A 13,525-nucleotide genomic window follows, 5' to 3' on the forward strand; every position below is an offset into this window, starting at 1 on the left:
TTTGTGAGGTGCTAGGCTAGGCTTTGGGAATCACAGCTAAATTAGACAGTTACTACCTTCAAGGAAGCTACATTCTCTTAATGCTAACTGAACTGCCCTTGCTGGGTTCCTGGATAGAATTTTGGCATCTAGCATTTGGAATGCTAGAATCATCTGGTCCACCCTTCCATTCAGTGTGGGATGAGGGTGGCCACAGAAATCTTCTGGCCAATGAGATAAAACTGGAAGCTGTTGGATGGCTCTTCTGGGAAAGCTTGTGCAAAAGGGACAGACTCCATGAGCATGCCATCTGTCTGGCTTTAGACATTCGTCCTGTTTAGAAAGAGGTGTAACATTTGGAAATGCAGCAGCCCTGGATTGAATGAATGAATGAACAATGAGAAAGAAAGCCTCAAGCTAAGGTAGAGGGATGGAAAGACAGCAGGGGCCTGGGTTCCAGTGGTGCCCCTATTGAGGCAGCATGGAGCCACCATACAAGCCCTTGATGGCCTCTGCATCCATTACCTATTGCTGCATAATAAAGCACTCCAAACCTTAGTGGTTTAAAACAGCAAACATTTATTAATCACCAGTTCTGTAGTTAAGAAATCTGGGCACAGCTTAGCTGGGTGCCTCTGGCTCAGGCTTTCTCTCGAGGCTGCAGTTGTGCTGTCTGTCAAGGCTGCAGTCATCTCAACGCTTGACTGAGACTGAAGAATCTGCTGCCAAACTCACTTGGGTGGTTTCTTTCTGGCAGCCTCAGTTTCCCATGACAAGGGCCTCTCTGTGAGTTGCCTGAGCATGTTCATAGCATAGCAGCTGATGACCTAGGAGATAGCCATGGAGTATCCAGGTTAGAAGGCACAGCCTAATCCCAGAAATGACAGGCTGGCATCAATAAGAGGGGCTGGGGATCACTGAGAGTCATCATAGAGGCTGCCTACCACAGCCTCTGACCCCCAGATTTCTTGTTGCACAGCACAAAGAAATGCCTCTTTTATTTTAATCACTATTAACTGAGTGTTCTGCTACTTATAGTCAAATGTTATATAGTCTGGTAAAGTCATAACAATATTTGACTTATAGTCAAATGTTATATAGTCTGGTAAAGTCATAACAGTAGTTTACATGTACAGTATACAGCCTTTACTATGTACCAAGCAATCTTCTAAATGCCTTTTATATATAAACTCATATAATCCTTGAAATAACCTTACAAGGGAGGTATTTTGTTATCCTCATCTTGCAGATGAGAAAACAGAGGCACAAAGAGGGTACATAACAGACAGCCAGGAAGTGGCAGGTCCTTATGCACACCCAGGCAGTCTAGCTCCAGAGTCCACACTCTTAATTAACCACTGTGGTTCTCCTGCCAATAAGTACCCATGATCCTGACCTTCTCTTCCTGTTTCAAAAATCACCTCCTTGGTGGAGATTTCCCTGATCCCACCAGCCCTATGGTTGCCACAAACAGGATTTGTTGTTCTCTCCTTCCCATAATGGCTTGTGTACCTCCATTAGCATGCTGCATCGTACTGGAACTAGGTATTTACGTGGCTGAATCTCCTTCTGGACTGATTCTGAACTGAGAGCTGCTTCCTCGAGATCGGGACATGAGTGAAAGTAAATGTGTGTGGACAAGAGTGTCCACATTTTTGTGTGAGTGTGAGCACACAGAAACAATGGCCATGCAGTAGCCTGCATTCCCATGGCTCAAAGGTACCCCAACAGATGTCTGCTGAATGAATGAATGAACCAATGAATGAGTAAATAGCAAATAGATGGTATATTCACCTGAATGCTTTCCAAGACCCTTCCTTCAGTAGGCTGACGACAGGAACTTTATCGTCATCATTGACAGTCAGTATAACAGTGGTTCTCCAGCTTCCATCAGGACCACCTCGAGGAACTGATTATTAGAAACACAGATGAAAATCATCGCTAACATTTTTCACTCCTTCCCTATATGCCGGGCACCTATCTGAGCACTTGATTACCTTCATACATTTTATCTTCACAACTGCCTTATCGGATGGGTATTATTGGTAACCACACCTTATAGATTCAGAAGCTGAAGCATAGAGAGGTTAAGTAACTGACTCAAGGTCACACAACTTCTAAGGGGTGGACCTGGGATTTGAACCCAGACAGCCTGGGCTCCAGAGTCTATGCTCATAGCTGTGCACACGATTGTCTTTGTACTATTTTCTCATTGCCTTCTCATATGTTTTGCAAAGTGGTTTCTGAACACCCTGGGTGAAGCTTAGGGAAATTTGTGAGTCAACAATATCTAGAAAAAGTGAACATTGTAAAGGCATCTGCATCATGGCCCCAAGCCAGAAAGAGGCTGTTAAGGCCCCAGCCCACTGGGATAGACTCAGCTGGGGAATCCAGAGAGCAGCCCTTGCCCTCCTCTGACCCTCCACCATTAGCACTCAGTCCTCCCCTGGAAAACAGGATGGCTGAGATGATACAGGGTAGCTGTCCTCCACATCTGTACGTACCAGGCAGGGGACATGGTTAGGCGTGGCCCACTGCCAGCTCCAGGACACTCCAGCCAGCGGCATTCCGGGCTGAGAGGGCTACAGAGCAAGAGGGGGGTGGAGGCAGCCTCTTTCCCCCCATCCTCCAAAGCTCACTGAGGCAGCCCAGGGGCCAGATGTGTCACTGCTGTGGCTTCAGGGCAGGCTGTGAGGGAACTATCTGTGGTTCTCTTAAGGCCCTCTGAGTGCAGCAATGTTTAAAAGCCTTAAATAAATTCCCATCTAATTTCAACTAGCTCCCATCTCCAGCTCGAGCTCTCAGCCGGAGCATGAAACGAGCAGGCGGGGTTTCTCCTGTAGCTGTGTCTCCTCCACGGGCCCCAGGGGACCCACTCGATGACCTGGCAAGTCTTTTCCATCTCTGATATCTATGGCTCCAGCTTCTCTCCCTCCCCTCCTTCCCGTCCCCGGCTGGCCTCCTGGGACTGCGCTCTTTGCTCTTCCCCAGCACTGCTAGGCTGCCTCCACAGCCCTCCCCACCCATCTGTAGGTATGGACACAGAGAAAGGCAGTCTTCAAAACTGCACCCTTCTCTAATGCAGCCCATCTCTCAGAAGCAAGCTGAAGGCTGGCTTTTCATTCTTCCAGGTCTCAGCTCTTCTCTTGCTCCCAGAGAGGCCTCTCCACCACTCAACTCCCTCCAGGCCCCCCGGCCTTCTCCTGTCCCCTTGAGGAAATGGCCCTCCTACCAGTTCTCCCTCCCCTTCTAGCCACAACTATGGGGGTCCCTCACACTCCACTCTTGCCCTCTTGGGGCCTTGGCACTGAGAGGCCCTGCTCCCTGCAGTGCTCCCTCCTGGACCCAGAGCCTCCCTGCCTGGCTTCACTCAGGTCTCTGCCCAAATATCACTGCCTCAGACAGGCCTTCCCTGGACTCATTACCTCCTCCTACTACCATATCTTTTTATTACACTTATCACATCCTGCCACATTTTATTTTTTATTAAATACAGTAAGTATACTATCTAGAACACATATAAGTATAATACGCTTGTTTTATTATTGTCTCTGCAGCTTAAATACAATTCCCTTGGCACGAACACTTCTCTATGCCCTCAGCACTGGGAGCAGTGTCTGCTGCATAGGAGATGGTTGTTTGTTGAGTGAATGCATGGTAAATGACAGGACAGATAAAAGCATGAGTTAATCCAGGGAAACTAAGCCAGGTGCTAACAAATTAGGGGTGGAATAGCCTGGAGTCATTTGAGCAGATAGGCTTTGGAGGTCAGCGTAGGATGGCCTAGGCTTAGAGCTGAAACTCAGGAGCCAGGTGCCTGGCCTGGCTTCCAGTCCCAGCTCTGCCAATTTCCAGCTCTATGACCTTGGGCAAGTCACTGAACCTCTCTGTGCCTCACTAGGGCAGCCCAGGGGCCAGATGGATCATTGCACAATGGGGATGAGAGCACTACTCTCAGGTTATTATGAGGATTCCACAAGGAGATACTTGCTTGTAACTGCCCAGCCTATGGCAAAGGCTCCAAAGGTGTTAAACGCATGAGACAGACCTGTCTACAAGAGGAAAACAGCTCGGCCCTAGCTGCATCACAGGGGGGCGAGGCTGAGCAGGCTTTTAACTCTGCAGGGGGCTTCCTTTCACAGAGCTGCTGCTGCTGCTGCTGATGCCAGGGAGGAGCTGGCCTTCCAGAGCTCCAGAAAAGATTCCCACCTTGGGCTGACAGGTGAGCTGAGGACACTGTGAAGAGAACAAAACCTGGCTTCCCAAGAATCTGGGGTCTGGGAGAGAGGAAGAGGGAGGGAACTCTGGTCTAAGAGCGAGCCTGAGGCAGGGATAATAACTGAAAGGGGGCTGGAAACAGGGCCGGGCTGGAGGGCCCAGCTTCCCATTCAAAGAGCCTGCCAAGACTGCTGACCATGGCATGAGCGCCATGGGGGAGAGAGATGTTGCCAAGGGCAGAGTGAGGACTGGATCCTGCATCCCAGACACCTGCTATCCCTGGCAGGAATGGGCAGAGGAAAGTGGCCTGGCAGAACTGGAGCTGGGAACTTGGTGGATGGAGACTTTGGGTTGGGGCGTCTGAGGATAACCAGGATTTTTGTGTACTGTGTAGGGGGAAAGATGATGCCAGCAATGCTGGTGTGAAAATGTTGGTGGAGGAGCACAGAGCCCCCCACCCCAGGGGAAAGCAGTGAAGTAGAAGAGGGTTGCCCTGGGTGCCCACCCCCTACCAGCTTCCACCACCACTGTCAGCACAAACACTCCCATTCCTGAGGCCTCATCTTTACTTCCACTTCTCCCACCTACCCCCTCCCTCCCCACACCTACCTGTTCTGCGCTTCACTCCCCGCCATTCCTGCTGTCTGCAGGGTGGCAAGCTGCTACCCTGGTAAAGGAAACCACAGGAATACATCAAGGGCACCTAGATAATGTACTTGCATTTTATGAGGTAATGAATACTCCAACAACCCAAAGCAGATCACTAATGCTTTAACAATTCAGTTAACAAACATGCCTACTATAGCTTGAAAGGTTTTGCTCTTGGTACTGGAAATCAGTGGAGTGTAGGATATTTAAGAGCCATTTAGGCGATGGCAGGATGTATAGGGAACAGCAGAACACCCTTCGCGCTTAGAATCAAAGCAGGCAGCAGGTTCCTGTTCTCCTGGTGAATGGAAGAGGGGTGGCGACTTCGGAGCAAGGTTGAACCTAGAGTCTAGGGCTCTATGAGGCAGGCAGAGGAGGCTGGCAAAGCTTTGGCTTCCTGAAAGACAGAATTCCTGGGCAGGAGCTAGGCAGTGGCTCCATCCATTTGGGTAGAGCCCACAGGGACCTGGATGAATCACAGGTCGATAACCAGGCTCTCAGAATGAGAGGAGAGCAGTTTTTGAGACAGCAGGCTGTCCAGGCGGGATGTATTTGCTCAAGAGATCAATATGTAATCCAACCAGATTGTCCCCTCCTTCCTCCCTCCCTCTTCCCTTCAGAGAATTTGAAGCAGAGGAAAGCAAAAAATCTTCAATGTGAATGAGACAGAAGGTCAGGATTGTACTGACCTCTCTATCTGAAGATACTCCCCTGCCCTCTCCCGGGAAAGGAAGGCCAAAAGCTAGGGGCTGGGAGGCAGGTGAGTCTGAGGAGATGCACCTAGGAGGTGGGCAGGACAGTGAAAGGAGCACTTTCCCTGGCCCTTGGCAGCTGCATGGAGATGATTTAGGACAGGAAACATCACTGTGGGTGGAAGGGCCTGCAGGGGTGTTTTCCTGTGCCAAGTATTGATGGGCAACTGGTCCACTTGGAGGGTGTTTATAAGGAAGTGCAGCTGTTTATAAACAGAATCCGGGCTAATCTGGGGTTAAAGCAGAGGGAGAGAAATCTGGAACTGATTGAACTCTTTGCTAAGGTAGCAGGATGCTTGCTGGACAGTTGAGAAAGGCAGGAAGACTAGACGAGGAGAGCAGCAGCTCGGTTTCCCTATTGGACACATAAGCACAAAGGAAAATGACATGGGTTTCTGACATCAGGGAGACTTCACCCTGTGGGACCGACTGACTCCAGAAGGGATCCTTTCAATCCCACCAAGAGGGTGGATACAGAGAGAAAAGCTACAAGAAGACTGAGGCACGAGCAACCAACTTGAGGGAGGCAGGGAAGGTTTCCAACAAAAGGTGACCATGGATCTGAGTCTTCAGGAATAGATGGATTGGAGTGCACATGGTTTATTTGGGAACTGACCTTCCAAAAATATTAGTAGGGAATGAAATCATGAGACAGGGAGGGAAGACACTGAATGAAAGGTGTGTTATCAACAAATGTAAATGAGGCTCAATCCTACTAGGGAAACGTGGGAGTTAGAACAATAGGCCAACGAGGGCCTTAGAATTCTCCCCTGAAGTGCAGATATTTAGGGTACTTATTCACGACTCCCATCAGTCCCCAACAAGAGCCATTCATTCCCAACAGTGGCCATGCAGGCTCCAACAGCCAGGAAGAGCCTGCAGGCAAAGAGGTGCAGGTGCTACAAAGAAGCATTGGGTCCATGTATATGTGCTTAAAGAATAAGGGCTGATGGGATGGCAGGTGAGCCTCAGATGTGTCTGCTATAGACTCTGCAGGGCAAGAAAGGATGAGCATTTGGGGACGGTGGATTAGCATGTACAAAGACCCAGAGGAGATCTGGAAGGGGGCAAGGGCAGGAAATGAAAGAAGGGGGATGTCCTGGGGAATAATGCAGAGAGATTTTGACTGGGAAGGACTAAATCATTAGGAATGATGACAGACCCCAAACTACAGAACATCTCCAAGTCCAGCTTATTTCCTAAGCTATTCAAGTCTAGGTACTATAGCCAGACTCTGGAGCCCTGGATTCCTAATTTTTTAGGGCCTGAAGTTCCCTGAGAAATGCAAACACTAATAACTAGAGAGAGAAAGTGATTTGCCCAAACCCACACAGCTGGTTAATAGCCATGCCAGGATTAGAACCCATGACTGTAACTCCCTAAGGTATTAGTGGCCTGGTCTGCAACTCTTCTTGGAGAAATCTATCTCAGGACATAGCCTTCCGGTTGAGGGCATGATCCCTACAGGCAACTCCACACACTTGAGCAAAGGGGGTTGGCATTCCCAAGGTCTAGAAAACGCCTGTGCCTACAGAAATAAAGGAAGAGCCCTATTCCTAGGAGTGACTCTAGGGGCCCCTCACAGAGACGGGGCTTTTCCATCAATAGGCATTAGACATTTGTGCCTGGGTGGGGACATGATAATTTTTAGCAGACGTGCAAAGTGGAACTGCCATGCCGGACTAATTCTGGAGGGGACCAGCCCCCTCACTGAGTGCTGGCAGGTGTTTGGAGCCACTTCCCACCCCATGTAGTCCTGACTTCCTAAGGTGACCGAAAGAGCATTCATTCATTCATTCATTCATTCACTAACAAAACTTTGCTGAGTGCCTTGTCTGTGCCTAGCAGAAAGTGATGGGAGTGGGCAATGGTGTCTTGGATGGCCAAGGAAGGCCTCTCTGATTAAGGTAGTATCTGCCCAGAGACTGAGGCAATGAGGAGAAGCCCTGAGGATGTCTGGAAGAATAGCAGTCTACAGAGAGGGAATAACAAGACTAAGGAATGGAAGGGCGTGTGCTTGGTGTGTCTGAGGAGCAGCAAGCAGGAAGTGGCAATGGCCTAAGTGAAGAGAGGGTGGCAGGAGGGAGACTGGGAGGGAGCAAAAGGGGAGTTGGGACAGAAGAGAGCCCTTGATGGCTGCCTACACCAAGACCCTCTGGAAGGTCTCCCTTCCCGGAGGAGTGAATCACAGAAGGTCATCATTTCAGTGTCTGGTGCCATGACGGGGCCTCTGGATAGACTGATCCCAGAGTGGGAGAATCATCATGGTGCTGACTGAAGTCCCTCCCAGTGACCCTTCCTGCCCTGCCCACCCCACTGCCCCTGGGGCCAGCTGGGCTGTGGACCCTTCTGTACTTGGAACATGGAAGGAGACAAATGCTTAGGGATGCAATGCAGTTGGCTTCCACCCTTTCCAAAAGCCTACAGCATTCATGAGGCCTGAAGGAAAGGAAGCGGCGGGCGTCGCTGGAAGCTCAGAGACACACAGGTCATAACAGAAAGGGAAACGTGGCTGCAGTTCTAGCTTGGTTTATGTCCTTCCGGTCTTTTTCCCAGGCATATTAAACCCATCAGGGAATAGATGGCTCACTGGGGGAGGAAAGTGAGGAGAGTTTGAAGAAGGAGTTTACAAGGTGTGGGGCAGGGTTTAAGGAAACCAGCAAGGTAGGGTGCAACACCTGGGGCTAGCCTCAGTGGGTGCAGTTAACACCCCCGACAGGAAGGGGTGAGGGGAGGGAGGGAGCAGTTGCCAGGACCTCGAAGGCCTAAAGGTCTTGTGGGAGCGCTGCCTGGGGAGAAGAGTCACCTCAGTAGGGAGATGTAGCAGCTTGGCAGGGAGGGCACGAATGCTGGCCTCACTCTCCTTTTCTCCCATTGGCTGGGCCATCAGGAAGCCAGAGGGCAGGAAGTAGGTTGATGCAGTCCACACAGGCAAGCCTCCAAGGGCAGAGAGTGGGTGGAGAGGGGGGAGCGTGGATCTGAGAGAGCCAAGGGAAGGGATCCAGCACCCATAATAGAGCGAGTGAGAGAGTGAGTGACTGACAGAGAGAGAGAGATCTCTGTCTATATACATACATATATATATATATATATATAGTAGAACAGTGCAAATGCTATTTCATGGCCTAATTTCCTTTGAAACAAATGCTAGACTGATGAAGAGAGAATTCCCACCTCTGAGGAGGACCCCATTATCCAGCCCACCCTGCACACAGGGCCGCTCCTTCAGGGAGCTTCTTTGGCTCATTACGATAACAAGTCTCAGCCTTCTTATTTAGCCAGGCATCCTGATGCCTCTCCTTCTTCTGCCTCCTAATGAGAAACTAGTGTGGCCCTGCAAAGGGAATGCAGAGAGAGGCAGTGGTCATGCAGGGGTTGCCATGGAAAGCAAACTGTTCACAGGAACAGGCATCATTCTGGGGAACAAGGGGCATTTCAGCCCAGTGCTCTCAAATCCAAGTGTGCACACAAGTTCCCTTAAAGTCAACTTCAAGTCTGGTTTAGGTTTAGGAGGTCTGGTTGGGCGGGGGCAGTGGGGGGAGGGGGCTGGGCATCCCTAAGAAGCTCCTGGATGAGGCCCATGTGGCAGCCTCTGCCTGCACTTGGAGTATGAGTTTCTAGAGAAGCTTTGAGACCTATGTGCTCAAGCCCAAGGGGAGGGGAAGTTGGGGTCATTACAGGCAACTGACTAAAGGAGGTACAGCTTATCTTTCTCCCCAAACCTGTCAATGGGCCTGAAATTTTACCATTAGAGTCACCTCTTTCGAGTTTACTTGGTAATTAAATTCAGCTTCTCTTTTTGGAGGGTAAATCATACTCAGCCCATCATGACTTGGCTCTACCCTGTTCGTCTATTGAGATTAATCCCTCAACAAAGGCAAAGCACTGAAGAAAAGGGACACAGGGCTGGGATGTTCTAATGAGATGGGTGGGGCACACCAAGCACAGACCTGACTGTATTTCCCAGTGACCAGGTCTGGGACAGCCACAACAGAGGTTGTGAGGGCTGAAACTCAGATTCACCCACCCATTATGTTCCCTAGAGACAGGTCCACAGGCATCTCTGGAGGCCCTAGTCCCACAAGCCCCATCTTCCTAATATTAGAGGGTCTTCCTTTTGAATAACTCTGAGCCTAGAGTGTTTGCCTTCTTTAAAGCTTGGCCTTTTCTACCTTTAAGAATGAAGGGAGAAGACCCACAATTTTTTACCTTTGCCCACCAGAATATAAGAGGTCAGTATGCACATCTGACTTGGTCTCCTCTGGACTTCCAGCATCTAGAGCAGAGCCTCACACAAAGTAGGCACCCAGGAATGTTCACTGAATGAGGAAAGACTTCCCTGCCAAGAGCTTTCTTCATCAGCTGGCTGCTGGTCTTGGAGGGGAAAGTAAACAATGATGGGTGATTGACTGGATTAACTGAACCCTAGGACTTGAGAATTAGAGGAGAAGGAACTTCTGCTTCTAAATATTTAAGACACTTGATCAGGGAACTCAAACAACTTATTTTAAGAATCAGGAAACTGAAACCCAGAAAGGAGAAGAGGTTTCCCCAAGATCACACAGCACATTTCTAGGGTTAGGCCCCAGCACTCTGACTCCCAGTTCAGGGCTTTGTCTACTTCACCATTCAGGTGTCCATTCATTCATTCATTCATTCAACAGCTGCCTATTGAGCAACTGCTTTTCCCAGGAACTGTTCTAGTTGCTAAGAATCCAGAATAAACAAGAAGGCAAAGTCCCTGCCTTTATGGAGCTTACATTCCAGGGGAGGAGACAGAAATAAGCACATAAATCAGCAAATAAATTCAGAAAGGGATAGCAGCTATAAAAGAAAGAAAACAGGCCAATGAGCTAAGATGTGTGTGCAGTGGGTGGACACCCAAAGTAAAGGTGGTTTTCTGAACCTTGAAGCTGAGAATTATGCACAGAGGGATGAACAGATACAGCCCCTGCCTCGGGTGCCTAATTCCTTACTCCCCACATTCTGCTCTGTGTCTTCCCAAAGTTCTCCCTCCTGTCCCTTCCTCACCCTGCTCTGAAATCATCAGTCAGGCTACTGTTTTCTCGATCATGCTCCAACCACCTCTGATTGTCTCCCAGCCTCCAGCCTCACAGCCAGAGGGGGAGCTCAGATACCAAGGTGCCTCCATGGTCATACCTCCTTCAGTGCCAGAACTGGAAAAGACTAATATTCTGCTGTAAGTCCAAATACCCTAGATTACAAAGGAGGAGCCTGAGGCCCAGAGAGGGCAAGTGACTTGCCCAAGGTCACACAGTAAGTAGTTGGCAGAATTTCCACTTTCTCGCTTCCCCGTGCATTTCCTCCTTTACTCCCAGCCAGCCCTCTAGGAATCCTCAAGGGTCTTCAGGGATGTTCAGCAGACCCTCATCTTGGGCTGCTTCCCCTGGCCCCCAAGGAAACCCAATGTGCAGTGTGCGGCCTCTCTGCCATCTTGTGGCTGCTCCTAAGAATGTCGCCTGCCTGGCCAGTTTGGAAAAAGTGCCACAGAATTCTCACTGGGATCTGAACTCTCCTCCCTGTACCCATAACTTTTGGCAAAAGAGCTTCACCCACACAAATGCTCACCTCCAAGAAAGAAGCTAGGGCAAGGGGTCAGGCCTGCCCCTCCCCAGCTCTGGACAGACCACAGCAGAGTCACTTCTCCCTTCTGCCTCAGTTCCCTCCTCTATAAAAGGAGGGGGATAATTTCTTCCCACCCACTGCTGGAACGGTTGTAAGGCAGGAACAGGTCATAGATGTGAAAGTGGTCTGAGAGGGGAAAAGTGCTGTGTCACTCTTGTCATCCCGCTCTTTCATGTAGCAGGTGCCCTAACCCACCCCAAAGAGCCTGGATTAGGTGGGCATGAGATGCGGACTTCCCTGACCTGTCATCTGCACACGCAGAAGGCTCATCTGCAGGATGCAAGGCCTCTGCTGCCTGCAATGGGATTAACTCTTTCCATGGCCACCTGTCTGATCTCTGTCAGGATGTCTGTCTGCAGTCAGGGGAAGGGACGGTATCTGGGTAATTTTGCATCACCCAGTGCCAGGTTCATGAGGTAGCAAATGTTTCCAGGTGTGCAGGTGCTGTCAGTGCTCTGCCCAGATCTTCTGACTTGACCCCATCCGTGTATCCTCTCCTGAGTACTTTTTCTGTCCACTTGAGCCCACTTTGCCATCTGTTTGCAGGCCAGAGGTGTCTGGGGATAAATGCCCTGTTCCCTACCCCAGCTCTGACATGCTGGCTCCCAGAGCTCCCCTGTGGGACTAAGCCCCCACGCCCAAAGGGATGGCTGACTTGATGAGGCTCCCTTATTGAGGCTTCCAGGTATTGTCCCACTTACCCGCTCTCCTCCTGGGGTTTCCTTCACCTCCCAATAAACTATGTGCACTCATACCCTCCTCTTAGAGTGGACACCAGTATATCCCCCAAGCCCTCATGCCTCACCATGCACCTGGCCCTCCCTACACTTGTTCCTGGCCAGCCCTCCCTACCACCATCAGGAGGGACCAGGGGAAGAGAAATTTCCCCAAAGGGCTGGAATCCATGCCTTCCCATGGCTCTGTTTGTATTCCAGCTGCTGCTCCCATCTCTTGTCACGTCGTTTAGATCAATGGATTATCAAATTTTTAGTGAACATTTCCTGTGTTTCAACCCCTATGTTAGATGCTAAGAATATAGTTGTAAGATTACTCAAGGACAAATGTACTGTCCTTGAAAGGCAAATACGAAATAAGCATACACACAAATGGAAGTTAGCAGTCTGAGTCATGGCAGAGGCCATGAAGGAAAAGAGGTTGCTGCGGGAGAGGAGTGGCGAGGGACATATCACAGGGGAAGAGGCCAGAGTAGGCCGCCCTGAGGAAGAGCTATTCAGGGTGATTGCTGCAGAGACAGAAGGAGCCAGCCAAGCAAATACTGGGTGGAAATGCTCCAGGCAGAAGGACCAGGCTGCACAGAGGGCCTGGGGTGGGAAACAGGGAGAAGGCAGAGTGGTGAATCATGACACAGAAGAGGAGAGCCTCTCAGAGAGCTGCTGGCAGAGCGGGTAGGGCAGAGCCACACAGGGCTGTGGAAGCCTTCTCAGGGCATCTGCATTGCACTCTAAGTTCAGTGAGAAGCCCAGGACAGTGTCAAAATATGATTGTTTAGGCTGGGTGCAGTGGCTCACGCCTATAATCCCAGCACTTTGGGAGATCAATGCAGGAAGACCACTTGAGCCCAGGGGTTCAAGACCAGCCTTGTCAACATAGGGAGACCCCTTCTCTACAAAAACTTTTTAAAAATTAGCCGAGTGTAGTGGTATGCATCAGTAGTCCTAGCTACTCCGAAGGCTGAGACAGGAGGATCCCTTGAGCCTGGGAGGTCGAGGCTGCAGTGAACTATGATTATGCCACTGCACTCCAGCATGGGCGATAGAGCGAGACTCTGTTACAAAGAATAATAACAAAAGAAAAAAAAGAATATCGTTGTTTGAAAAGATCTGTCCGGCTGCCAGGTGAAGCCTAGACTGGAGGAAACCAAGTAGATGCAAGGAGGCCTGTTCAGAGACCATTGCAATTGTTCAGAGGAGAAAAAGCAGTAACTGAGACTAGAATGGAAATGCATGGTGATGAAGATAATTTCACCAATACATCAACAGACCCATAGAAGCATCAGGAGTTGGGAATTAAAGTATTTTTATAAGCAAAACCTAAGGGTAACTGTGATGGTTAATACTGAGTGTCAACTTCTTGACTGGATTGAAGGATGTGAAGTGTCCCTCGGTGTGTCTGTGAGGGTGTTGCCAAAGGAGATTATTAACATTTGAGTCAGTGGACTGGGAGAGGCTGACTCACTCTCAGTCTGGATGGGCACCATCTAACCAGCTGCCAGCATAAAAGCAGGAATAGAAAGCACCAACTTGCTAAGTCTTCTGGCCTCC

General features: G+C 49.8%; 1 long non-coding RNA gene across 1 annotated transcript in view, besides 1 other annotated feature; it reads right to left on the reverse strand.

Annotated features, from left to right (window-relative positions):
* Positions 1-538: 538 nt before the first annotated feature.
* The window catches only part of LOC105375053 (uncharacterized), a 30,660-nt gene continuing 17,673 nt past the window's right edge, over positions 539-13,525 (reverse strand). The window contains exons 2-3 of the long non-coding RNA XR_926790.3: positions 1,774-1,888; positions 539-806 (exon numbers count right to left, since the gene is read on the reverse strand). This is a non-coding gene — a long non-coding RNA (uncharacterized LOC105375053). The remainder of the gene's footprint in view (positions 807-1,773; positions 1,889-13,525) is intronic.
* Positions 10,037-10,236: an enhancer, noted in NCBI's record as "active region_24497". NCBI's record gives its function as "activates an Ori minimal core promoter by ATAC-STARR-seq in GM12878 lymphoblastoid cells {active_cell/tissue: GM12878}" and the evidence as "EXISTENCE:reporter gene assay evidence [ECO:0000049][PMID:35858748]".

The sequence above is a fragment of the Homo sapiens genome, chromosome 6 (assembly GCF_000001405.40).
Source record: "Homo sapiens chromosome 6, GRCh38.p14 Primary Assembly".
Taxonomy (NCBI): Eukaryota; Metazoa; Chordata; class Mammalia; order Primates; family Hominidae; genus Homo; species Homo sapiens.